This window comes from Homo sapiens, chromosome 17 (assembly GCF_000001405.40).
Source record: "Homo sapiens chromosome 17, GRCh38.p14 Primary Assembly".
Taxonomy (NCBI): Eukaryota; Metazoa; Chordata; class Mammalia; order Primates; family Hominidae; genus Homo; species Homo sapiens.
In genome coordinates, this window is record NC_000017.11 from 79422460 (window position 1) to 79448204 (window position 25745).

The 25745-nt window shown below is 55.3% G+C and overlaps 1 protein-coding gene across 58 annotated transcripts in view; it reads right to left on the reverse strand.

Annotated features, from left to right (window-relative positions):
- The window catches only part of RBFOX3 (RNA binding fox-1 homolog 3), a 576227-nt gene that overhangs the window by 333115 nt on the left and 217367 nt on the right, over positions 1-25745 (reverse strand). For 3 of the 58 annotated variants that reach the window (NM_001385812.1, NM_001385837.1, NM_001385811.1), the window contains exon 1: positions 1248-2289. The exons of 53 other annotated variants lie outside the window; for them this stretch is intronic. The gene's annotated coding sequence lies outside the window, so the exon portion shown is untranslated. Of the gene's footprint in view, positions 1-1247; positions 2290-14454; positions 14587-20377; positions 20647-25745 lie in introns of those variants that run through there. 2 more of the 58 variants (NM_001385815.1, NM_001385816.1) reach the window with 2 other exon arrangements.

Below are 25745 nucleotides of genomic sequence, written 5' to 3' on the forward strand. Positions count from 1 at the left end.
GGCTGCTGCCCTCTGTGTTTCACCCAGGGCTTCCCGGCCCAGGCTGCCTCCTCTGTCCTCCCGCTCCCTACACACCCCTTCATTTGCGGAAGCCGCCAGGCAGACACTCGGTCTGGGCAAGGCCCAGGGTCCAGCAGCCTCAGGCTGGGCGGGGCCAGGCTGGGCAGATGCTGGGTCGTCACCCCGGCAGTGCTCCTCTCTGCCTGGGCGCAGTGGCGGGAACCCGGGGTGCACCCTGGCTCTTCTCCATCACCACCTGTTAGGGTCTAAATTGTGCCCCCTCCCCAACTTCATATGTTGCAGCCCTGACCCCCCTGTGTAGCTGCATTTGGAGGTGGAGCCTATAAGTAGGTTATTAAGGTTCAGTGAAGTCACAGGGACCCTCATCGGATGGGATTGATGCCCTTACAGGAAGAGACAGCAGGGCGATATGCACTCTCTCTTCCTCTCCCTGTCTCCCTCTCTGTGTTTCTGTCTGTCTCTCTCCAGGGGTGCACAGAAAAGGCCACGTGAGGTCGCAGGGAGAAGGCGGCATCTACACCAGAAAGAGTCCTCACAGGCACGGGACAGGCCGGCCCCTGCGACGGGACTTCGGGTGCCCCGTGTGCCACGAACTCCCCTCTTTCTGCCTCCAGCCCCAGTCTCCTTCCAGACTCCAGACTCTTGGGTCCAGTGGCCAACTAGTCACCCCCACCAGAGTTTTCAAACGTGTCTTGGCGTCACATGTCCAAAACCAAACTCCTCACGTCCTGCGGTCTCCCCGTGGAAGCCCCATCTTTCCAGGTTCCCAGGTACAAGTTCGTGGCATTGTCCTGGATTCCTTGACCGTCCTCGCCACGCCCCCATCGACCAGGATGCCAGGAGCCAGGATGATTCTGCTTTCAATGCTTGTGCAGATCCTGCCGCACAGACCCCAACCCTACCTCCAGTGTGGTCCGGCGCCACCACCTCTGCCGGACGTTTGCTATCTCTCTACCTCCGTGCCCAGCCCCCGGCTATTCTCAGCACAGCAGCCAAAGAGATTCCTTTAAAATAGAAGTCACATCCTGCCAGCGCTGCCGGTACCCAGCACCTGGGGTTCTCCGCTATCTCCCACACATCGTTCTCAAACGCCGCCACCTCTCCACGCTGGACACTGCCCCCTGTGCAAACGCAGCCCCCACCCCTTCGTCCCATTTGCTTTTTCCCAGGAATGCCTGCCCCCCCGACCACCCCGTGCCCACAGACAAGGTCAGCTCAATACATACTTGTTCAAGGAACGGACAAGGAACAAGCCCAGTGGAGTCGCTGCTGGGCAGGGCTGCCCATCAGCAAATCCCCTTGCAACTTCTCCATCGTCCACGAGGCTCTTGGTGACCCCATCCCGGATGCCCAGTCCAGGCGCACACTCAGTCATGTGCTACCCAGAGCACGCCACATGCCCTCAGCTCCCTGAGGCCTTTGCAGCCACTATGCCCTCTACACGGAATGGCTCCCTCTTGTCCTCTCTTGGCAAGGGCCAGCCAGCCTGCAGCCCTAGCCCAGGCACCCCTTCATCCAAGGAGACCTCCCTGCCCCTCAGTCCGAGTCAGGAGCCCCTTCTGTGGGCGCCCTCTAGGCACCCTCACTCACCCCATACCAGGGTGCTGCACAGCCTTCAGCCCTCCCTGTCTCCTGCTCACAGCAGAAGCTCCCTGCAGCCAGGGGCGGGTCTTATTCACCCCTCTCCCCAAGTGCAGAGCGGAATCCTCCAGGCAAGTACATCATGTGAGGAATGAACACACAGTAGGGGCTCTCCCAGCACAGGTGGCGTGGGAATCATAGCCTGTCCGGGCCTCCCGCCCGTCCCAGGAGCACAGGGGTGAGCGTCTCTCCCTCGGCACTGACCAGGGGATGGACAAGGAAGTCCACAGCCAGGAAGCCCCTGCCCCCAGAAGTGAAGCTGGGGCTTGGCAGGAAAGAACAGCCAGCCAGGCTGGCGGAGCCTGCCCTAAGGTCCCTCCGCTCCCCCCGCAACTGAGCTCTCGACTCTCAGCAGCCATGGGCCCTGCCACCTGCCAGCCATGCTCTTCCTGTGAAATTCTCTCCAGCTGGAGTCACCACTGGCCTGGGGCTTCTTCCTGTCTCCAGGGTGGTGCCCACTGAGTCTCCTTGACTAGGACCACCCCCTCCCCCACCAGGCTTCCAAGGGCTCGGTCCAGCCCTGGCTCTCCTCTCCCCTCTGGCCTCAGGCAGGTCTGTGGCTCAGGAGGACCTGCTGACAACAGCCATAGTCTTCCCCCTCGGGCCGGGCCGGAGCTCCAGCTGCCACCTCATGTCCTTCCTGGGGTCATCCCTTGGGATCCTCAAACCTGGCCTGCCTGGACGGATGCTGGTGTCCCCTGACTCGCCCCATCTCTGCTCCTGGAAGGCAGCCCCTACCCATTTAGTCACCAAAGCCCCTCCCCACCATGGTCAACTGTCTGCAAGTTCCCAGAGGGAGACACATTTCCCTGTGGCCTCTGCTGTGCTCTGACACCCTGGGCCAGCCCCACCCTGTCGCCCGATGGCTTGCTGTTTAACATGTATCAGGTGACACTCACGCCCTGCTAACCCCTCCACAAGCCTCCTGGTTTTAGAAAATAAAATCTGTGCTCCTTACCCAAGGCCTGTTATGCCCCACCCTCCTCTCTCACCTCCTCTTGCTACACTAAACCCTCCAGGAGCATGGGTTTCTGTCAGCTTCTAGAACATACCCAGATCCTTCTGCCCAGGCCACCGCACCCTGCAAACCCCCCTTCCTGGAGCACCCTCGTCCAGACCTAACTCCTTCCTGGCTGGTTCTCATCCCTGAGGCCTCAGCTCCCTCTGAGTGCCCTGAGCAAGTCCCCTCCGCAGTAACCCTCTGCAGTGGGGAGGGCCTGGGGGGGCTTGTGTGGCCCCAGTGCTCACTGGGAACCCACAGTGTGTAGCCAAGCAGGGAGTCAACCCCCTGGGGCCCCAACTGCCTGCACTCCCCAGAGGAAGGAGGCACCTCCCACCCGGACTGGAGCCGTGTCCACAGCTGCCAAGGATGGTGCCCTAAAAGATTCTCACTTCCTTCAGAGGGGCAAAGCCTGAGATATCTGGGAGACCCAACAGGACACAGCAGAGGCCATGGGGGTAAATAAAGAGGGAGTTTCCAAGGTAGACCCTGCTGAGCTGTGCACTTGGGATCAACCTTGGGGCGGCACTCACAGCCAAGAGATGGACAGAGCAAGGAAGGGGGAGAAGACAGGAGGGCCACGAATTCCGACTTAGAAGGCGGCAAGAGCAGAGGGAGCAGTGAAGGGACAGAGCGGGAGATTGGGGGCCCGGGGGTTCCGAAAGACACTGGACAGTTGCAGTGGAGATGGGGAGGGCAGGAGGAGAGGATGGGGGGAGGAGAGGACAAGGAATGGTGAGGGCAGAGACCCCCTTCCAGGGATCTTGCTGCAAAGAGGGGCGGGCACCAGGCCTGCGCCTGGGAAGGTGGTGCGAGGCGAGGGCTCTCTCTGCAATGGGAAGACAGACGCGGTGACCAGTGTAACACTGGAGGAATCACGGAGAGTGTGGAGGGGGAGAGAGCAAGGCTGCGGGACTCATGGCCTGGAGCTGGGGAGGAGAGGGAGACACAGCCCACAAGCAGAACCAGGGGCTTTTGGCAAGAGTGAGTCAGGGGGCATGGGTGCTGGTGGCCTGGGTTTGAGGAGAGAGAGGAGCAGAAGAGCTGGCTGGGGTGTGAGGACTTTCAGGTTCCCCAGGTCGTGGGGCCCACCTTTCCGGCAGCATCCCAGTCCTTTGTCCCACTTGTCCCATGCAGGCAAGGCCCAGAGGGGAGGCAGACAGTCGAGGATGGCTGTCGCAGGTGCTGGGAGAGGAGGTGTTCTCGTGAATGCGCCATGTCTTTCTTGCTCGAACAGTAAATAAAACCTCAGGGTCAGGGGAACAACCCACATTCTAAACTGGCATCCCTGAGAGGTGACAACAATGAAGAGACAACGGCAGGCAGGCCGGGAGCACTCGCGACACAGTGTTCTGTGGTTCCAACAAGACTTTCCTTCCAGCCGATGGGGCAGGCACCTATCATCCTCGTTTTACCGGTGAGGGAACTGGAGTCCAAAAGTGAACTGATGAAGCCTCGGTGTGAACCCCAGAACTTCCCTAGCCCACAGCTTGACTTACTTGTCCACACCCCACCTCATTTCCAAATTTTGGAGGGGACAGCACGGCTCTATTTACTTTGGGGTGTGTGTTTTTTGTTTGTTTGTTTGTTTTTTTGCTTTGAGACAGAATTTCACTCTTGTTGCCCAGGCTGGAGTGCAGTGGTGTGATCTTAGCTCACTGGAACCTACACCTCCCAGGTTCAAGGGATTCTCCTGCCTCAGCCTCCCAAGTAGCTGGGATTACAGGCATGCACCACCATGCCCGGGTAATTTTGTATTTTTAGTAGAGATGGGGTTTCATCATGTTGGTCAGGCTGGTCTCGAACTCCTGACCTCAGGTGATCCACCCGCCTCGGCCTCCCAAATTGCTAGGATTACAGGTGTGAGCCACCACACCCAGCCCCGGAGTCCCTTTTCTTAGTTTATTTATCTGCAGAAGCAGGGACCTGGCTCTGATGACCTGCAGACCCTCAGTTCCCGCCAATCCCGAAGCTCTCTACATCCTCAGTTCTCCAGGTATGGTGCTCGGAGCAGTAGCTGTGCCTCCCCTTTAGCTGGTAAGAGATGCGGACGGGGGGCCCCTGCCCAGACAGGCCCACTCAGAATCTGGATCCCAATCTGTCCGGGGAAGCAGTGCGGCCAGGGAGGCTCCATTCCACATCACCCAGCACCACCTCAGGGACCCTGCTCTAGGGAATGGAGGGGCTGAGGCTCTAAGGTCCTGGGAGATGTCCTTTGACCCTGTTGGTAGAAAGGTCCCTACACAGTTGGGCTGGCGGGAAGCACCCCTGTCTCTGAGGGGCGACTGCAGGGGGCCTTCCCGGGCTGTGCCTGCTCCTTGCAACACTGATCCTACAAGATTTCCCACAAACCAGGGGAGCTGTGAGGCCGAATACGCTTGGGAGCTCAGCCAGTGATTTTGCCTTGTGGATGCTCCTGATGAACACTGTCCCATTGAAGGCACCAAGAAAGTATGGGCAGAGCCCACTGCACTTCCTTAACAGCATTTCTCACTCTTAACCGTGGAGACCCTTGTTAGGACACAGCTAAGGCCCCCGAAGAAGGATCCTGTTGGGGAAACATCCTGAGATAGGAAGCACAATGAGCAGAGAAGGCAGAGGCTCCTCATAGCACATCCATTCACACCATCTGACAAACCCCACCTGCACACGCACAGATGCGCACACACATATTTGCAACATGCACAGGCGTGCACACATGAACATACATGTACACATGCACATATGCACACATGAACACGTGTACACACGTCCCTGAGGATGCTTTGTCTCCCAGCCACTTCTTTTCCAAAGCAGCTGTTGACTGGGCCCCGTGCTCCCAGCAGATGGAGCTGGGCCTGCTGGTTACGGCTGGCACTTCACCTGACGTGGCCACCACAAAACCACGGCATCCCCACACTCCCTCCTCCTGTATAACTGAATGTCCAGGTCAACCCCTACACTCAGCCTTAAGAAATGGGCCCACAAGGCAGCCACTGTGCCGAGACAGACTCCGCCTGCAGCAATATCCTCGCTGTCCTCGTTCCCTCTCTCTCTGTCCCTTGAAGGTGCCTGGTGCACTGTAGGTGGCTCCTGGGTGTGGCACCAGCACAAACCCTCCCATCTCCACAGTCACAGCCTGAAGGCACAGTTTCCCCGGAGCCCCTGCAGTGAGGGGAGGTGAGGGAGGGCAGGTGCCATGGGGGAGCTCGCGGGGCAGGACGGTCTCCTGCAGACCCACCCTGGTCTGGGAGCCACTCTCCACCTGCGTCTGCCCCCGCCCAGCCTTCGCATCCAGGAACAAGTCCAGGGACACGGTATCAGGGCAGAGCCAGCTCCACTGATGGGGCCTAGAGCCCTCTTAGGCTGGTCTCAACTTTTTACTTGTCCCTAACACGGGGCTGCTGTCCCCTGAACATCACCACAGCCATGCCAACCCACAGGTGACCCACGGGCCTTCCTGCTTTCCTCTGGTTCCCTGAGCTGCACCCACAAAAAGCCTCCGACAGCCTCGGGAGGCAGAGATACGGACTGCTCTGATTTCACAGACGCCCACGTCCACACCCCTGCTGATAGAAGCCATGGTGGCAGTGCCTGTGACGCTCACGTCCCCAGCAGGACGTGGCCTGTGACCTCCCCAGCTCAGGACTGAGGGTAGGTGACACTCCCTGCCCCCCGGCTTATGTTCTCAGAACTAGCAGTGAATTACTGATGGGTAACCATCGGTCTAATTTCTGTCTGTATGAATTTAACTGTTCTAGGGACCTTGTATAAGTAAAGTCATATAGTATTTGCACAGTATATTGGAGCTTGCCCTTGCTCCATGGACAGAGTTCCCGGAGTGGCTGACTCCCTCTTTACTCCGGGTCCCCCTTCCAGTGCTTCCCTCACCGACTCTTCCCCTGCCAGTGACTCCCCCAGAGAGACTCTTCCCCCTTGAGATTCTCCCCTACCCAGAACCTTTTCCTGCTGCTGTTGATGCCAACAACACCTCTGCCAAAGCAGCCCCAGGTCCACGTGCTGTGCACACGTGTGCAGAGGCACACACGCTCACACACGGCCGTGGAGCATGCTCCTTGCAGCCTCTTCAGGGACACCAGCACAGAGCTGGGCGAGACCTTGGAAAGGCATCCTTGACCCTCTGTGAGGAGAGGCAGTGGCCAGCGACCACACACCCGCACAGAGCCTCGTCCACCCTGAGGGGCCCTGGGATGGTCATGAGTCCCATCCTTGCCCATATGGGAGAGGAACAGAGGAAACCGGAAGAAGAAACGCTTGAAGTCCCCAAATGGGGACTGGCAATGTGGGGTGGCAGCAGGTGATGGGAGGAGAAGAGATGCAGGCAGAGAGTGAGTCCAGCAGGCTGGGCAGGAGGAGGGAGGCCATGCCGTGGACTGGGCCAGGGTTTGTATATACAGTTGCCTCTCACTCAGTCCCTCACTAAGAAGCCCAGTGTGGTGCCAGCTGCCTGCAGCTGCCGAGGTTGGGTCCTCAAGGGGGCACCTGGGGAGCCCAGGGGAGCCTGAGGTCACACCTGGGCCAGTTGAGAGGCTGACTCTAATTCCCACAGTCCTGCCACCCAGAAACTAGGAGCTCCATTTTACAGAAGACAAAACCGAGGCCATGGGAATCAATGACTCGTCGGGGCCACATGCTTCCTGAGTGAGATCCAGGATCTGATGCCAGCTGCGTTGGGCTCCAGAGCCCAACATCCCTACATTTGTTCTTCTTTTGGGAGGAAGGGGAGGGCTTGCAGCCTTTGTTCTATAAATTCGTGGTTCTGCTCAACTTGGGGCCTGTGCTTGAGGACCTGACTTTGGCCTGGGAGTCCTTGACCTCTGCGAATCCAGAAAGGAAAGTGGGTGAGAGGACAAAGGATGCAAGCCCCCAGCACATCAGAGTCCAGGCAGGGGGCTGCCGAGGCGAGGTGGGGGAGCCTGGTGCTTCACCTAGCTCCCTGGAGACATCAGCGCACCAACCCAGCTCTAGGATTGAGTGATTTCCCCCAGCGTTGCACTCAGACCACAGGGGCCAGCCAGCCGTCGCTTTGAAGACGACTTCAGAGAAAAGGTGTTTGATTTGAACAATAGCCCAGTCACTTCGAGAGCCATTGTTTTTACAATAGCAAGAAAAATTCTTAGGAGAGTGAACCTGTCTAAAACATCTTCCAAATAAATAAATAAATAAATAAATAAATAAATAAATAAAGCAGATAAGAAAAAAAGTAGAAAATAGACTCAAACATAACATGCCTGAAAATCCTTCAACACATCCGTAAATGGAAAACCCCTGCCTACAGTTAAGGAGGCTTCCCAAACTATAGTTCATTTAACTGTCCTTTTAGGAGTCTCTTAATCAGAAAGGTGATTTCAGTATCAAATACGCTTTTGCAAGTACTTTTGTTTCTAAAGTATAAATAGTATGTGCTTTATACTGTGCTCGACTAATATTATTATTATTGTTTGAGACAGAGTCTCACTGTGTCACCCAGGTGGAGTACAGTGGCGCCATCTCAGCTCACTGCAACCACCGCCTCCGGGTTCAAGCGATTCTCCTGCCTCAGCCTCCTGAGTAGCTGGGATTACAGGTATGCAGCACCACACCCAGCTAATTTTTGTATTTTTAGTAGAGATGGGGTTTTGCCACGTTGGCCAGGTTGGTCTCAAACTCCTGACCTCAGATGATCCACCCGCCTCGGCCTCCCAAAGTGCTGGGATTACAGGCGTGAGCCACCACACCCGCCCTGTGCTCAGCAAATATTGTTTCTTATCTGCCAAAAGACTGTCATAAGATCACTGGGCATAAAGTGAAAACAGACACGCTCAGAGCCCCATGTTCAGTTTGCTGCCTGTGGACATCAATTTCACCAGAAAGCATGTCTGATAGGTGCCGAAGATTGGAAATTCATTGATCTCTGTGGCCAGAAGAACAACTTCAAGTTTCCCGGATCAAACCAGAGAATCATTCCTTACAGTTAAGTCTAAAAACATGAGGTCAAGCCCGATCGGTGATCATGGGTATTGCACATGAAAAGGATCGGGGAATCCAGGGCCCAGCTGAGGAACACGAAGGTGTGAAATGGAAACCTTAAACACGCGGTCTGTTCTCACTGCAGTGGTTATGTTCCACAAAGACCTCTCAGACACTGACTTTACAAATACTGAACCATTGTTCCTAGGGGAAACACATGGTTAGGTTCCCAAGAGCCTCTGACCACATTTTCTTTTTTTGAGACGGAGTTTCACTCTTGTCCCCAAGGCTTGAGTGCAACGATGCAATCTTGGCTCACGGCAACCTCCATCTCCCGGGTTCAAACGATTCTCCTGCCTCAGCCTCCTGAGTAGCTGGAATTACAGGTGCCCCCCACCCCCCACCATGCCTGGCTAATTTTTTTTTTTTTTTTGAGATGGATTCTCACTCTGTCATCAAGCTGGAGAGCAGTGGCACCATCTCGGCTCACTGCAACCTCTGCCTCCTGGGTTCAAGTGATTCTCCTGCCTCAGCCTCCTGAGTAGCTGGGATTACAGGCATATGCCACCATGCCTAGCTAATTTTTGTATCTTTAGTAGAGACAGGGTTTCACCATGTTGGCCAGGCTGGTCTCGAACTCCTGACCTCAGGTGATCCTCCTGCCTCGGCCTCCCAAAGTGCTGGGATTATAGGCGTGAGCCACAGCGCCCGGCCCACATTTTCATCAACTGAACAAACATATCTCTGAACCATTACTATCTTGAGTGTACAGTCAGTGGCATTCGGAACATTTGCTTTGCTGTCCAGCCATCGCCACCTTCCATCTCCAGAATGCTTTTATCTTCCCAAACTGAAATTCTGTCCTCATTAAACACTAACTCCCCAATCATTCTCTCTCAGGCCCTGGTAAACACCGACGTAATTTCTGTCTCTATGAATGTAACCATTCTAGGGACCTCATCTAAGTCATACAGTGCTTGTGCTTTTAGGTCTGGCTTCTCTTACGGAGGCATCACGTTTTCTGGCTTCATTCACACTGTGTATTCTGTGTCAGGATTTCCTTCCTTTTCAAGGCTGAGTAATATTCTCTGGCATGGACAGACCACATTTTGTTTCTCCATTCATCTGTGGCTGGACGCTTGGGTTTTCCACCTCTTGGCTCTTGTGAATAACGCTACTATGAACCGAGTGTGCACATGTCTCGTCCATACCCTGCTTCCAACCCTGTTGGGTGTATACCCAGAAGTGGGGTTGCTGGGAGAGTCTTTTAAAAGATTGTTTCATAGAAACAAGCATCTCCATGGAGCTTCACCTCTTGGGCCAGGCGGCAAAAGCCAGCTTGGCTCATGGAGGAGCTAACCATACCCACATCAGTCACCTGGGTTGGTGGGACATCTGCAAATGCCACTGGAAACACGTGTTCACTTCCCAAGGGTCGCGAGCAGCCTTTTATTTGTGTGCAACCTGTTTCGTTAAAAAAAAATCTGCCTCATTTGTTTGAAGTGTAAACAAAGGACAATTAATTAATTTGTTAATTATTCTTCCGTCCTTCTCATGCACACTGGTATCAAAGGCCCTGTGTCCCAGATGTGAAGGGAACGGGTTCATTTACTGATGAGAAACCAGGGAGATGCCCTAAGGCAGACAAAGGGGAAAAAAAAAAAAGCTAACGTGGTACAAGCTTTCAGAAAAGGAGACAACGTAATTGGAATGATCCTAGAAATTCTGCAAGCTCCTCTTCTTAGTATTCTTAGTAAAACAAGTGGGTCTGTAGGACAAGTGCCACAGCTCGCGAGGCTGGGTCCCTGAAGATCGGTGCTTTACACTTAACTTGGTGACAGCGTGAAAGACGTCCTTAAGTAAAACGTTTAGAATCCGGTCGCTCTCCTCCCTCTTCTCTTGCTCCCCCTACCCCAGCATTAATTAACTAGTCTCATTTTCTCTCCCTCTCCCAGCACAGACTCCAGGTTACATCTTCATCCTGCTGGTGTTGGTGTGGTTGGCAAGCTTGCCTGTGTCACCACCAACACCAATGGGACACAGACGTCTCTGCAGGGAGACACGGTCACTCAGACGCTCAGGGCCAGGAGGGTCCAGGTGCCATCAGGAAAATGGTGTGAGTCACCCCACTCGCATCCTCTGTTCCCAGGGCCACCTTGGGAGAGGTCCCGCCCTGGTCTCTGGGCCAGGGCTCCCTCACCACAGTCCTACCCCTACTCTAGCTACCCAGGTTTTAGGCCAGTTGACCTGGACATCCTGCCCATACCTCTGTCTTTTAAGCAGATACAAAATCTAAGTGTGGGAGAGGGGGCACTGTTCCCACTTCTGTCATGTGACTTTGTACTCCTCCCATGGAAGCAAGTGTATTACTCCACCCTGTGACATTGTGCTTGGCTGGCTGGCTGGCTTTTACCAACAGAATGTGAGCAGACAATGTACACACAGGCTCCGAATGTACTTATGCAGCTGGGCTTGGCCTCTTGGACCTCTGTCGTGGCTGGGAGAAGAACCTCCCTTGGGAGCTGCTGCCCCTGGACCCAGCCGATTCCACGTGAGCAGGACTGAGCCACGCCCAGCTGGCTCACAGCTTGAAGCAGCTGCAGCACCCAGCCCAGCCCAGCCCAGCCCAGCCCACACTGACCTGCAGACCCCACGAGCAAGGTGCGGTTGCTTCTTGACATTTGCCATGGTTATGTTCTATCAAGTCACCGTCCACACTGGATTAGCCAATACTAAACCAAGGGCTCCCGGGGAAATACATGGCTAAGTTCCTGCAAGCTTCTGGTCGCAAAAGTTTCATCGGTCAATCAGTACCTAACCTTGTTTTAAGGGTGTTTCTATTTAAAGACACTGTATTTCATATATACTGTTGATTTGTTAACATTGAACTCACGGCTAACAGCACTAGAGGAAGCACCTCTAATTTTCTCCATAAGACACGTCACAGCCTCCTGGCGCTCAGGAACACTGGACAGCTGTGTTGCACGGGGCTCCAGCGCCCTTTTAAACAGTGAACCCCCCAACGGAAAGCACAAAAACGTGAAGAACATCGCACTAAGCAGGTCTCAGAAAGGACGCTTTGTAGTGTGAGAGCTGAGGCTGGAAGGCCTTGTTTGACCTCAGCTGGGACCACATGCATCTGGCTACTGCAATTTTTTTGCTGCTCTGCACAGGTGCAGGAAGAATTATGAAAGCACCTTTAATCTTGATTTTGGGGTCACAAATAAATTTTAGCAAGTAGATGAATTTGCAAATACAGAATCCTCAAATAATGAGCATCGACTGTAAATGTTTGAAGCCATGGACTTATGGGGCCGTTTGTTACGCAGCAAGAACTGACTTACACATGATGAAGACCCAGAGAACCCATGCCCCCAACTTCCAAGGAGGAGGAGTCTGGAAGTGTTGGAAACACCTGGGTAGGCTGAAGTCCATGAAGCGAGTTGGGATTCTCTTTATCCTATGACAGCATAAAAATCCCAGTGTTCACATCACAGTGGGAAATAAAAGCCTACTGTCTCTCTTTCAGGCAACATGCCTCTCTTGAACCCCAACACATTCTAGGTGAGTTGCATCTAGCTGTGTGATTTTGTATAGGGGATTTAGCCAAGGGAGCAAGCAGGCCCAGACAATTGTGCATTGTACTTAGGGAAGAGAGGATTCAATTCATAGTACTTCAAAATCCTGACTCTGAACTTCAGAGAAAGCTGTGTTTTACTCAGGTTCATTAATGGGGAGAGAACTTTTTCTCTGGAGATGGACTCCGGGGCTACGGGGAATCAGGTGATGGCCAAGCATGGCTGGGACCCTGAAGAATGGGGTGACAGTGCTCAAAGAATGACTGTGCTCCAAGCAGGCTCCTGTCCAAGCAGGTGAAAATGCAAGTTCTAAGTAAAAAACGTGTGTGAATCCGTGCAAAGAAAACACCAAGGAAGGTAACATCACGAAAAATACAAGTTTCTCCTCTGCAAAACAAAAAGACATGATTTTTGTGGCCCCCAAAGCCTTCCCCTTTTCCTTCAATCTGGGACCCCAATATCTGGCTCTGCTGGGTGCGTCCTGGTGCCAGCGTGTCTGCCCCCCACCTCCGCAGGGTGGACAGTGAGTTGTGCCCTCTGCCTCTGGCCTGCCTGCTGGTCACCAGAGGAAGCTGGTTCTCAGTTTGGAGTCTCTGTCCCATGGAATGGCACCACATGGAGGTTGGAGTGTAGGCTCTGGAGCCAGGATCCAGGTCTGCCATGGAATAAAGGTACCTGCTTATGCTTTAAAGGGGGGAGAAGGAAGAAAGCTCATGCCCTGAGTGTCCCCCACATGTGGCTGTCCACAGGCTGCCAGAGCTGATTCCAACACAGGCTTGTCCCCATGCAGGATCTGCCGCTGTGTGGCACCCCTTGATCCTGGTTCCTGAGCCTACGCTCCAAACCCATCTCTGTACCCAGCTTTACCTTTCTGTAGAAGGAGAATGAGCACAGTCACCACCTCCTCCAGGGCGTTTAGGAGTAAATGTGTCAACAGGAGGAAATCCCTGCAACAGAGCCTGGCTCCTGGTAGGCACTGACAAACGTTGGTCCCCGGGCTCAGGCCCGGGCCCCTGGGCCCTCCAGCCCTGTGCCCCATTCCCCTTTGCTGGCCAGGTGCTGGCATTCCCATTGGTTTGCATTTGTTAGTTCACAGGGTGTCTCCATGCAGGTGGTTCTTTATCAGTGGTGTGTGGCTTATCCACAACAGCCTTCCAGTCCCCGATGTCTCCCAGCCACCTTGCACATCCCCGGCCACCTCCTCCCACACTCCAGCTCTGTGTGCTCGGGGAATGCAAAGCAATCTTAACATTGTTCTAAGTCAAACATAATTGGGAAGGTAAACCTATAGTGACAACAGAATCACAGACTGCATTCCAAATCCACAGAAACGGCACTGGGATCTCAGACGCTCCCTGCAGCTGTTTTCACCGCCCCCATGAGACCTGCAACCTGTGAAAGAGCAGAGGGAGCCTCACTTCCCCAGGCCCATGTGTGGATTCTTCATGCTGGTGGGTCTACACCACAGAGCGGGGTTCTAGAAGAATGTCAGCAAACACCCCCGGGTAGGCAGCCGCTGGGCATCTGCTGTGAGTGGGCACTGTGCAAACGTACAGGACATGGGGCTGCCCACAGGATGCCTGGCTTGGGTGGGGCAGGCAGCTCCATTGGCAGCTGCTCTAAGGCAGTGCTGGGTAACAGACCAGGGCAGGGGAAGGTCATTCCGAAACACACATGCTTGTGTGTGCACATACTTGGGTGCAGCTGGACAGAGGGGCATGGCCCCGGGTGCACCTAAGCATGAGTACGGTTGAAGCAGAGGCCACATAGAGGTACCAAGGCCTGGTGACAGAGGGTAGCCTGAAAGTCCAGCCCCATGGGCGGGACAGGGCTAGAGGGCAGCTGGAGAGCTGGCAGAGCCCAGGACACCCGGGAGGAGCTGAGCCTGCAGGCCACCAGGAGCAGGTGGAAGAGCAATAGGCAGATAGATAGATGTGGGGATGGGAGGCAGGCAGCAGTACGTGCCTGGGCCTGGAGGGACCAGATGATTAGGAGGCCAGGGAGCTCCTGCCTAAGCCCTGGAACAAAGGCGCCTGCTTATGTTTTAAAGGGGGAAGAAAGAAGAAAGCTCAGGACCTGAGTGTTTCCCACAGGTGGCTATCCACAGGCTGCCAGAGCCGATTCCAACGCAGCCCTGTCTCTATGCAGGATCCAAGGCCCAAGGCACTGGGACCTCACCAGCCTCAGAGCCAGGGAGCCCAGGGTTCATTTTTGACAAAAAACTGCCACCCACCCCCTCCACTTGGCCCCTGGTGATGCTTTGACCTCTCCGGGGAGCTGGGGCAGGAGGAGGGGTGCTGTGGCCAGAGCCGCCATCTTCTGTCCTGGGAAGCACTCTGTTAGAGATGGGGGCCCAGAGAGTGGAGTCTCAACTGAGGCTGAATAATTTCAATCAGCCTACAGGCCGCCCCGATTCCCTTCTCCAACAGGGACCTTTGAGTGCTCAGGAGGGTCTCTGGGGTCTGCCTTTGAGCCTCCGCTTTCTCTCCTCTGGATTCCCCATGCTGACCTCATCGCCAGGCCTGAGGGTCTCACCCCCCAGGAGCCCCCCTGGGGTCTGGGGCCGCCCCATCCCCAAGCCCCAGAGGTTGGCTGGTGCCTCCACTGCTGCCGGCTGGCCCTGACTGACAGCTGCCCATGCAAATATTGTCCGTTCCAAGCTCCAGCCGGGGAGGCCGGGTCCCCCTGCCCACCCGCTCCTCCTGGAGCTCCTCCAGAACCTTGAAGAGATGACTCAATAAATGACGAGCCCAGGGAGGTGCGGGAAAGCCCATAGCACCTCTGAGCTGAGCTGCCTGTCACCGTCACTGCCACTCTGTGACACCAGCCCCACTCCAGGCTCTGAGGTCCTGGAGGGCTGCTGGAGAGCTGGCAGAGCCCGGGACACCCGGTAGGAGCTGGGCCCCCAGGCCACCAGGAGCAGGTGGAGGAGCAACAGGCAGATAGATCCATGTGGGGATGGGAGGCAGACAGATCCATGTGGGGATGGAGGGCTGGTCTTCAGGAGTCTCCTGGGCACCCCAGAGTCAGGAAACCCCATTCCCAAATGCCAGGCTCCCCAGACTTCCCACCCTAGGCCGGCATGAGGCCTTGGTCCTGAAACCTGTGTCATCTCCCAAAGGGTATTTCCAGAAGGCATCTGGCTCCTGCCTGACTGCTCTGCCCTTTGGGAATCTGGAAAACCATTTGTTCTAGTGCCTGACATACATGCCCTTCCCTTCTTCATGAGCAGACCTGGAGAGGCACATGCCACACACATATACTCATGTACATGCACACGCATTCACACACAGATACATGCATGCACAGAGGGGCACAAGCACACCATGCACACACATGCAGACACAGGTACACATGTACACAGAGGGGCACAAGCACACTATGCACACACAGGCATGCACACACAGGTATACACAAGCACACATGTATACATGCACACACACAGGTGCACAGGCGCACACACACACACACACACGTCACCACCAGGGCTCTAAATGCAGCTGCAGTGACCTTCATGTTGTTGAAAAGAAAACCTCCTTCTGTGCTGCTGGCCAGGGTCCCTGGCAGCTCTCCCTGCTCTGGCCCCTGAGCTCAGGTCCTAACCCTGCAGGCCCAGTAGGGGCACCGCTAGCGCTGGGTTCTATGTATCCTACTCCCTCTTGCCCAGTCCAACCAGCTCCTCCATGATAGTAAACATGAAGTAAAACCCACCCTGTTTTTCATGGAAGGATCAAGGAGGATCTGTAAGCTACTCTTTTCCCTCCTCTCCAAGATCAAATGATGAGCTTCAGCCTCCAGCATATGGCTCCCAACTCCCAGGTCCATGGCTCTGCTCTCCTGGATCTCTAAACGCTGATCTGGCTCTCCTGGATCTTGAACATTCGCCCTCACGATAGCGGGGCAGCCAGGCTGCACAGCAGTGGGCTCCTTTCTCTGGGGTCACTCCCCGTCTCCTCTCCCCTCTAGGAAAGCCTGGCCCAGTACCACATAGGTGAAGTCAGGGGCTGGCTGGGGGTCTCCCCAGGGGCCAGCAGGGGCCGTGCCTACAATCGGACTAGGTCAGGCCTCATCAGTTCCCGAGGGCACTCACCTGCTTTGCTTGGCTTCTCGGCCATGACCATCACCTGCGTTTCCTCTAGAAGGGAGGAGTGCCCCCGAGCAGGAGCTGAGGGGAGGGATGAAATCTGGAAGTCACTGCCTCAGAACTGGTCCATGGCACGGCAGTAAGAGAAAATGAGTTCTGGGTGTGAAATCCCCGAAGCTCAATATTTTGGTCTGTCCATACATGGGGCAGGAAGCTGGGGAAATCTCCCTTTTCTCCCTCCTCCCGAAACCATCAGCTTCTTTACAAATTCCCCAGCTCCCAAGATTTTAATTTTACAGTTCACATTTTCTCCCGGCAGAATCCCAGGATGACGAGGTAGAAAGTCTGCCCTGATTAACTGTCCCTCTGGCGCTGAGCAGGGCCCGGCGTGATAAATAGCAGGAATAAAACCGAGAGAGGCGCGCAGCAAGCTGTCGGCAGGTCTGGCCGTAAATCCCAGCTCTGATGGGGCCGAGATGAGCTGGGGGCTTTATGGAGGGGAAGAGAGGCTGCTTGCAGAGCAGCACCCCGCTCCCCAGCCCCTCCCCAGCCCTCCTGATGCCCATGCAGTGGATATAGTTTAAGTAAGATAGAGCGAAATCGCTCTGTTGTGTCATTGATTTTTAATAAAAACAGGTAACGTACTGCAAATCTCACTGTGATTTCATCTCTCCTCGCCTTTGCCCAGATGTCCCGTAACCTCCCCTAAAGGCTCCATCCAAACAGCAGTGACCATGACTGGTGTCTGGCAGGCGGTGGACTCAGGATTTTGAGAAGTTTCCAGGAGGTCTAGGCTGTTTTCCCTCTTGACATACACACACATTCACATACATTTGCGTGAACACATCTGTGCATACAGGCTCACAAGATGTGTATGTCATGCACACACTCAGCTCACACGCACACTGCACACATGTATGTCCATGCATGTGCAAGCATGATCGCATGTGCACACGTGCCTCTGCACATGCACACACACTCAGTGGCATACACCACACACCGTGCATATGCACATGTGTGCGTAAGTGCAAGTACATGCATGCACACACACATACATGCACACACACACATACCAGACCTTCCTGGGGAGAGGCACAAGCCAACACTGAGCTCTCCTGCTGACCCAACTCTACTCTCTGGTGACCCTGAGTCTGTTATGAATAATCCAGAACATTCCAGGAGTAGGAGAAGGCACACATGTGCAGACGGGAAAATAGGAGAGGCGTCAGAGAAGGAGGACGCAGGAATGGCATCAAGCGGCAGGGGAGGGGAGCGTCCCTGTCAGACTCATGAGGCTGCCCGAGCCTCACACCCGGGCCAGAGGGCACTTGGGGGGATCTGGGCTGAGCGGCAACGAGGACATGGGCCACCAGCGATAACCAGGCCTCCTCAGGAGGCCTCTGTCACTTTCACCAGCCTTACCGAACAGAGATAAAGCCGTGTCTAATTTGCAGCTGAAGCAGGCACACTGTTTACCTGTTATCAGGGTTAATAGCGTCCGTCTGAGCTGCAGAGACAGCGCTGTCCTGCGGACGGGCCGTGCTTTTCCACGGCATTTCCCATGTCCCAGGGCATTTTTGAAAATGGTGGCTTCCTTTAGGGTCACATTTATTGTCCCCTGTGACTACAGAGGCAGGTACCATCCTCCCCATCTGATGCACCAGGGGCCCGAGTGACTTGCCTGATCTCCTAGCCAGCTCCCTGCCAGCTGGGGCTCCATTGGCTATACCTGGGCCGGCCGAAGCCCAGACCAGGGGAGCCGAAGCCGGTGACCACAGGGCAGGGAGCTCCGTGACAGCCTCTGCCGACCTCTCCCACAGCAGTGCCCTCTTCAGATTTTCCTCATTGGCCGTCCCCACTGGACTTCATTTTTAGCCATGGAATCCACAACTAAATCACCTCTGGACCCCGGACCATGCCCCTCGCACCCCAACTGTGAGAAAGCCTCACCCGCAAGGTTGACCTTTGCCCTATGGCTCTAGTTCCCCAGCACAACCTCCTGCCATACCCCCCTTCCCCATGGCCATTAGCCCCTCCCCACCAGAGGAAGGGCCCCCCTGCACCCCCTCATCAGCATCCACACCCCTGCTCCTGACCACGGCCTCCCTTCACCCAGGGTTTGTCCCTCAGAGGCCTCCTGGTCTTCCCCACACCCCATACGAGGGGACTTGGAGCTCTTTTCAGGCCCAGCCCTCGCACGGTGAGTCGGAACCAGATCAGAGACATGCATAGTTGCCGCACAGGCTGGAAATGTCCCGCCAGAGCTGGCTTGGGCCCAGGGGCAGCTTTGCAGGCAGGTCACACACCTGGGGGTGCAGGGAGAGGATGCCGAGTGGATCAGGACCCCAGGAAAGGGCGTCAGCGGAGGCAACCAGAGACACAGCGGAAGGATTTGTGGAAAGAGAAATCGCCTGGGGCAGGGTCATCAGGAGAGGGAAATAAACTTGGCCCAGAGATGGGTCCAAGCGTGAGAAGGAGCAGGTGTGACGAGGGTGGGCCAGGCTCTAGGCCAGGGTCCTGGGCGTGCCTCCTTCCTCCCGGAGCCTCGGCCTGCAGGGGCTCAATAGTGGCCCCTAAGATTCATGTCCTCCTGGAACCTGAGAAGGCAACCTTGTTGGAAACAGGGTCTTTGCAGATGGAAGTAAGGTGCAGATAGAGATGAGGCCATCCTGGATTAGGGTGGGCCCCAAATCCAAGGCCAGAGAGACAGGAGACACAGAGGCACACCCAGGGAGGTGGCCACGTGAAGACAGAGCAGAGATTGGAGAGACGCTGCCTTGAGCTGAGGAATCCCAGGGACAGCGGACAGCCCCCAGATCTGGGAGAGAGGCCAGGGACAGATTTTCCCTCCAAGCCTCTGGAAGGAGTTAGCCCTGCCAATACCTTGATCTTGGACTTCCAACCTCCAGAATGGCAGAGAGTCCATTTCTGTTGTTTTAAGCCCCCTAGTGTGCGGTCATCAGTTACAGCAACCCCCAGAAAGCAGTGCTGCGTCCTTGCCTGGGAAATGAGGGTGGAGCCCCGGCAGACCCCAGGGTGGGTCTTGGGTGGGAACACACACTCGTGGCCCACAGGCCTCGGCCAGCCAGGGCTGACGTGGTGCTGGTTCAGCCCTGGCCCAGGCAGGTGCTTAGTGAGGCAGGTGAAATCAAGGGTCTCACTGAATCAAAACAGATGGCCGTAGAGAAAGGCAGACCAACAGGTCAGGAGCCCGGGCCCCGCCTTGACCTTGGAAATCCTCCTCAGGTCCCCTGAGGAGCCACTTACTCTGGGCTCCAGCCCCAAACTTCTCAGGGAAGCTTCCAAGAGCAAAGATGCTCTTCAAAGGCCCTGGGGTGAAAGGGACGTGTTGGGAGACCTGACCATCCACGGCCCTCTCCTCTGTCCCTGCTGAGCCTGGCCTGGGAGGGAGGGGAACCCCATTCGGCCTCCAACCACAGCTGCTGGGGACCACTGGCAGAAGAGAGAGGAGGAGGGAGGGGGAGAGAGAGAGAGAGAGAGAGAGAGAGAGAGAGAGAGAGAGAGAGAGAGAGAGAGAGAGAGAGAGAGGGAGAGAGGGAGGGAGAGAGAGGGAGAGAGAGGGAGTGAGGGAGGGAGAGAGAGGGAGGGAGGGAGGGAGGAAGAGGGGGGGAGAGAGAGAGAGAGAGAGAGAGAGAGAGAGAGAGAGAGAAAGAGAGACAGAGAGAGAGAGAGAGACACCAAGCAGGGCTGGGTGAGTTGGGTGTCAGGGTAGTAAGGAGCTCACCCTGCAAGGCCCCTTGTGGTGAGAGGCGTATGGTAAGAGCTCCAAATGGCGGTGGCTGCTGTTGCTGGGATTTCATGACAAAATGCAGACACAAAGGACAAACCCAGAGGAGGGAGCCACCTAGGACTCTGCTACAATTGTGTGTTTCCACCTAGTACCTGCCGTGGGGGCTGCTGGTGCTCCAACCTCATTTCCCAGAGAGGACCCTGCACTGCTTCCCTGGGGCTGCCGTAACTATTAATAATTGCCAGAGGAAGCTGCAGGCAGAGCCGGAGGGGCAGACTGGGGTGGGGGTGAGGAGGGGAGAGAGGGTGAGGGGAGGACACCTCCCAGAAGAACCCCTCCCAGGAGGACAGGACCTGAAGGTTTCTTCTCTCAGCTCCCGGGTAGAATCAGGTCCGTGCATGATTCCACTCCTTGCTTCTGGTCTGAAGCTCCCCACAGCCACAATGGAAAATCTGACTGACTTGGCCTTAAAGAGGTCCCAGGCCATGAAGCAGCGCCCAGCAGCTCGGCATTGGTCAGAAGCCTCCACCTGCCTGGAGAACCCCTGGAAAACATCCACCTGTGCCATGAGGTCCTCACAGGCCAAAGGTGCACATGGACGAGACAGTGGTGGCCTCTGCCCCTGTGGACAAAACCGGAGCTCAGCCTCCCATGTCGCCTCCCCAACCAGCCACCTGGGAACCCGAGGAAGTCAGATCAGCCGAAGGGGCCCAGCGTCCAGTCCAATCCTGGGTGCTGCCAAGTCCCCTCTGCCCCAACAAGCTGCTAGGTGTGTGTCACCAGGCCTCTGCCACCGGCCTCGCCACGGGGGAGACCAGGCCAAGGCCTTGCCAAACACACACTCACATAAATGCAGTCATGCTTAGACACACACAAATGCACACTCACATACACCCTTGCCTCTTTTTTTTTTCTTTTGAGACAGTCTTGCTCTGTCGCCCAGGCTGGAGTGCAGTGGCTCGATCTCGGCTCGCTGCAACCTCTGCCTCCCAGGTTCCAGTGATTCTCCTTGCCTCAGCCTCTTGAGTAGCTGGGATTATAGGCACCTGACACCACTCCCGGCTAATTTTTGTATTTTTAGTAGAGATGGGGTTTCACCATGTTGGCCAGGCTGGCCACAAACTCCTGACCTCAGGTGATCCACCCGCCTCGGCCTCCCAAAGTGCTGGGATTACAGGCATGAGCCACCGCACCCTCTTGTTCACTGTCTCACATGTGCACACACTCGTTCTCACATGCTCACACTACTTGGGATCGCAGCCTCTTCTCCCTTGTCTAATGACCACACTGTCCCACTGCCTCCCTCGGCCCCCGACCCTTTATTTGCTGAGCCCCAGAGTGACCCTCTGGGATGATGGTGGGAGGGGCAGGCTGCAGAGAACTCAGAATGCCAACAAGGAGAACAGAAATCCTACAGGGTACCCGTGACTTACTGGGCTATCCCGAGTGCCGTGACACTTCATCTCATGGTGCCTGAGACAGGCACTGCCATCCCTCTTCCCATCTCCCAAAGGAGGAAACTGAGGCAGGAAGCAAAGTCAAAGCTCATACCCTGGCAGGCCCTGCTCACAAATGCACACCTGTATGTTCAGGGTGGCTACATGGAGGTCAGTGAATCATTAGGGGGACAGAATGTGGGAAGGATACATTGAGAGGGACAAGGAAACCCTGGGGATATGGAGAGAAAAGAAGGCCAAGGAGGGGGCTGCAGACCGGACACCCACTTCAGGTTTGCCCAGCACCCTCAGGGGTCAGCCAACTTCTGTGACCTCAGCTGGGGGACTGGGAGCCCCTTGTGGGTTGGGGGCCAGCAAGACCCACCCCTCTTATGGCCTGTGCGTCTGGCTCAGGTCCACTCTCAGGCACCCTGAGCCCAGTGAGGTTGGAAGCAGCTGGGCATGCATCACCGAAGACCAGCCGGGGGAAGAAACCTGAGCTCACAGAGCAGATGGGCTGAGCAACACCCCATGAAGTCTTGAGCCAGCCCAAAGCCCACATAGGCCGGTGCCTCTGAGCCACAGCTCCAAAGCCCTCTGTGCCTGACCCCAGCCTCCCTCACCAAACCTCTCTCCACCACTTCCTCTGGGCACCCAAGGCTACCCTGGACTCCTCTCTGTCCCCTGATGTGACCTGGCTTCCAGAGTCTCCCTCAGACACTTCCCGGACTGGCCTTTCACAAGCCCTGGGTCTAGATTTGTGCCTTATAAGCCCGCATTTGCTCCAAACTAAACTGTGGGCTCTTCTCAACAGCGTGCAGTAGAGAAGAGCCTACAGTTTAGTCTTGAGCAAATATACATTCAGATATATATATAGTCAGTTATATATATGCAAATATATATATGCAGTTATATATTATATATTCTTCCAGAATATATAAGGAATTACAACTCAATCTAATTCTAGAACGTTTTCATTGCACCAAAAAGAAACCCACACCCATTCACAGTCACTGCCCATCCCCAACCACAGGCAACCACAGATTTTTCTGTTCTGGACATTTCAGGAAAATGGAGTCACACACTCTGTGGCCTTATGTCTGTGTCTTTCACTGAGCATGACGTCCTCAAGGTTCATGTGTGTTGGAGCCTGTGTCAGGTTTCATGCTTATTTGTGGCTATATAATATTCCACTGCAGGGACAGACTCCATTTTGTGGACCTTTTCATCAGTCGATAGACATTGAGTTGCTTCCACATTTTGGCTACTGTGAATGGCGCTGCTGGGAACACGGGTAGGTGTGTTCATGGCAGACATATGCTTTCATTTCTCTTATGTATATTAGGGAGCACATTTTCTTGTAAGGGGGTCCCACTGCCCAGTGGGAATGTCAGGTGAAGCTCAGGCTGCAGGAGCCAAGGATGAAAAATGAGTTTCTAAATGACAGCGGCCTGGGTGAGGGCCTTCCACGTGCGGGAGGCACTGCAGGGCTCTGGGGTCTTAGAGGAGGAGACTCGATTCTCTAAGAAACCTCAGCCACAGGCCTCAGGACCCGCCTCGATTTCCAGGACTGTCTACCCCAGCCCACAAGCAGAGCAATTTCCAGATCTTCAAGACAAGCCCACTTCCAGGATCATCTCTCCCCACACCCTCCTCCCCTGTGATTTCCCTTCCTTGCTGTGCCGAGCTCAGAGCCCACAAAAAGCATCTGTCTGCACAGCCTGCTTTCCTGGGGGCAAAGCCGGGGAGGCAGAAGAGTCCAAGATGGGGCATTCCAAAGCCCACCCCTTCCTCCTCCATGTGCTCCCAGAGTCACAAGAAGCTGCTCGGCTGGGTGTTGCCCTGTTTTATTGCTAGAACCTTCTGATTCAGCCGGGGTTTGCAGGACAGTCCCCAAATCACTTGGCCTTGGGAAGGTTTTGCAGAGGGCAGGGGCTCTCTGAGTCTGACTGGTGGACCTAGGGCAGGGGCCCTCCAACCAGGGGTGGGTTTGCCCCTGGGGCCATTTGGTGGTGCCTGCAGACATTTCCAGTTGTCACAGCTGTGGCTGGGGGTGATGCTGGCACATGGCGAGCGGAACCAGGGATGCTGCTCATCCTACAATGCAAGGAACGGCCTCCACATGAGAGAATGGTCCCCCGACATGTCAACAGTGCTGAGGTTTAGAAACCCTGCCCTGAAGGGTAGGGGACCTGGGAGGTGACAGCTCCTCTGAGGCTCTGAACTCCTCACCCAGCATGGTCGGTCAAGCTGAGAGCACGCTGGCCCTAGAGATGGTCAGGAGCCTCCAGGGCCCTGGCGATGCTGCCTCCATCATTCCCATACTCCAAGGACACAGGATTCCACACGTCCAAAAATTCCAGCAGCTCCTCTCTCTGCTCTAAGCAGGACATGGCTGCCTTTCTCCTCCAGGCAGCAATGCGGCAGACCCCTGGTCAGACCTCAGGGCTGGGAGGAGAGGAATGATTGTGGTCATGCCTGGGGTCTCACATAAACTCCCTCCACCCCTATTGAGGCAGGAGGTGGAACTTGACTCCAGAGGTGAGGCTCAGACATCAGACCAAACTGAAGACTAGCCAAGCAAACGGGATGGAAGCAGCTCTCCCTAAGATATGCCCACTAGCGTGCCATGTTAGTGTACCATTGCTATGGCAACGCTCCTGGGCAGCACCCAGGAGTGACTGCCCATTTCCACGGCAATGACCCATGACCCACAACTCACCACCCTTTTTCTAGAAATTTCTGCATAACCTGTCTCTTAATTTGCATGCAATTAAAAGTGGGTATAAATCTGACTGCAAACCTGCCCTGAGCTGCCGCTCTCAGCACACGGCCTATGGGGCAGCCCTGCTCTGCAGGGGCAGTCACGGAGCTGCACACGGCCCATGGGGCAGCCCTGCTCTGCAGGGGCAGTCACGGAGCTGCCACGTCATCACAGATGTAACACCACGGCTTCAATAAAGCTGTTTTCTCCTACCATTGGCTTGCTGTTGAATTCTTTCCTGAGAGAAGCCAAGGACTCTCCTGGGCTAAGCCCCAGTTTGGAGTTTGCCTGCCCTGCAACACGAGTACCTGAGGCACAGCCAAAGCCTACCTTGGGTGAGGCTGGGGCCCGTGTCAACCTGGGCCTCCCTTCAAATGCCTCCATTCTGTCTCTTGATATTATCTCAAAACAAGCTTGGACGTGCAGTCCCTGCCTTCCATGTGTGCAGCAAATGTGAATTTGTCGGCAGTAAACATTTCAAACAGACCTGAAGTTCTGTAACCCGCTTTCGGCATGCCTCCATTTTTCAGTCGAACTGGAGCTTCTTCTGCCAGTGGATGCAGCCCAGGTCTCTGCCACCTTCTGAGAGGCCCATGAGCAAATCTCAGGGCTGGAGCTCTGAGCCGCAGGGAAATTAAATGTGCAGCCTCATCCATCCAGCCACCTCACTGCACAAATGGTCCCACAAACTGCCACTCCCCCTCCACAGATGCCGTGTTTGCTGGCAGAGTGCCGGCTTCATCTGGAAGGTTGTGCCTAACCGAGCAGGCATGACTTGCCTGTGATAGCCTGTGACCCGTCTGTCTATTGTGTACGGTGATACGGTGCACAGTCCCATTTTACAGAAGGACTAACTGAGGCACAGAGAAGTCAAGAAGTTGCCCAAGATGCAGCACAGGGAGGGCCAAGGGGCTGAAATTGAAGACTGTGCCCAAGCCTGGGCTTAAAGCACCATCCTCACTCCCTTGCCTTTACCTTGTGGGGATTTTCTTACAGGCAGTTGGGGAAGGATTTGGAGGGCTCCTTCTCTCTCTGAAGCTTCATGCCATCCATGTGAGCATTGCTCAGCAGAGCAGGCTGTGGGCCGTGCTGAGGGGCGGCCAGGGTGAGCCCCAAAATGGGTGATATGGTTCGGCTCATGTCGCTACCCAAATAGCATGTCAAACTGTAATCCCTAATATTGGGGGAGGGACCTGGTGGGAGGTGATTGAATCCCAGGGGTAGATTTCCCTCTTGTTGTTCTCATGATAGTGAGTGAGTTTACACAAGACCCAGTTCGTTTGAAAGTGTGTAGCACCTCCCCCTTCGCTCTCTCTCCTGCTGCCATGTGAAGACGTGCCTGCTTCCCCTTCACCTTCCGCCATGATTGGAAGTTTCCTGAGGCCTCCCAGCCACGCTTCTGGTACAACCTGTGGAACTGTGAGTCCATTAAACCTCTTTTCTTCATAAATTACCCAGTCTCAGGTAGTTTTTGATAACAGTGTGAGAACAGACTAATACAATGGTTCAGGAGCCCCCAGA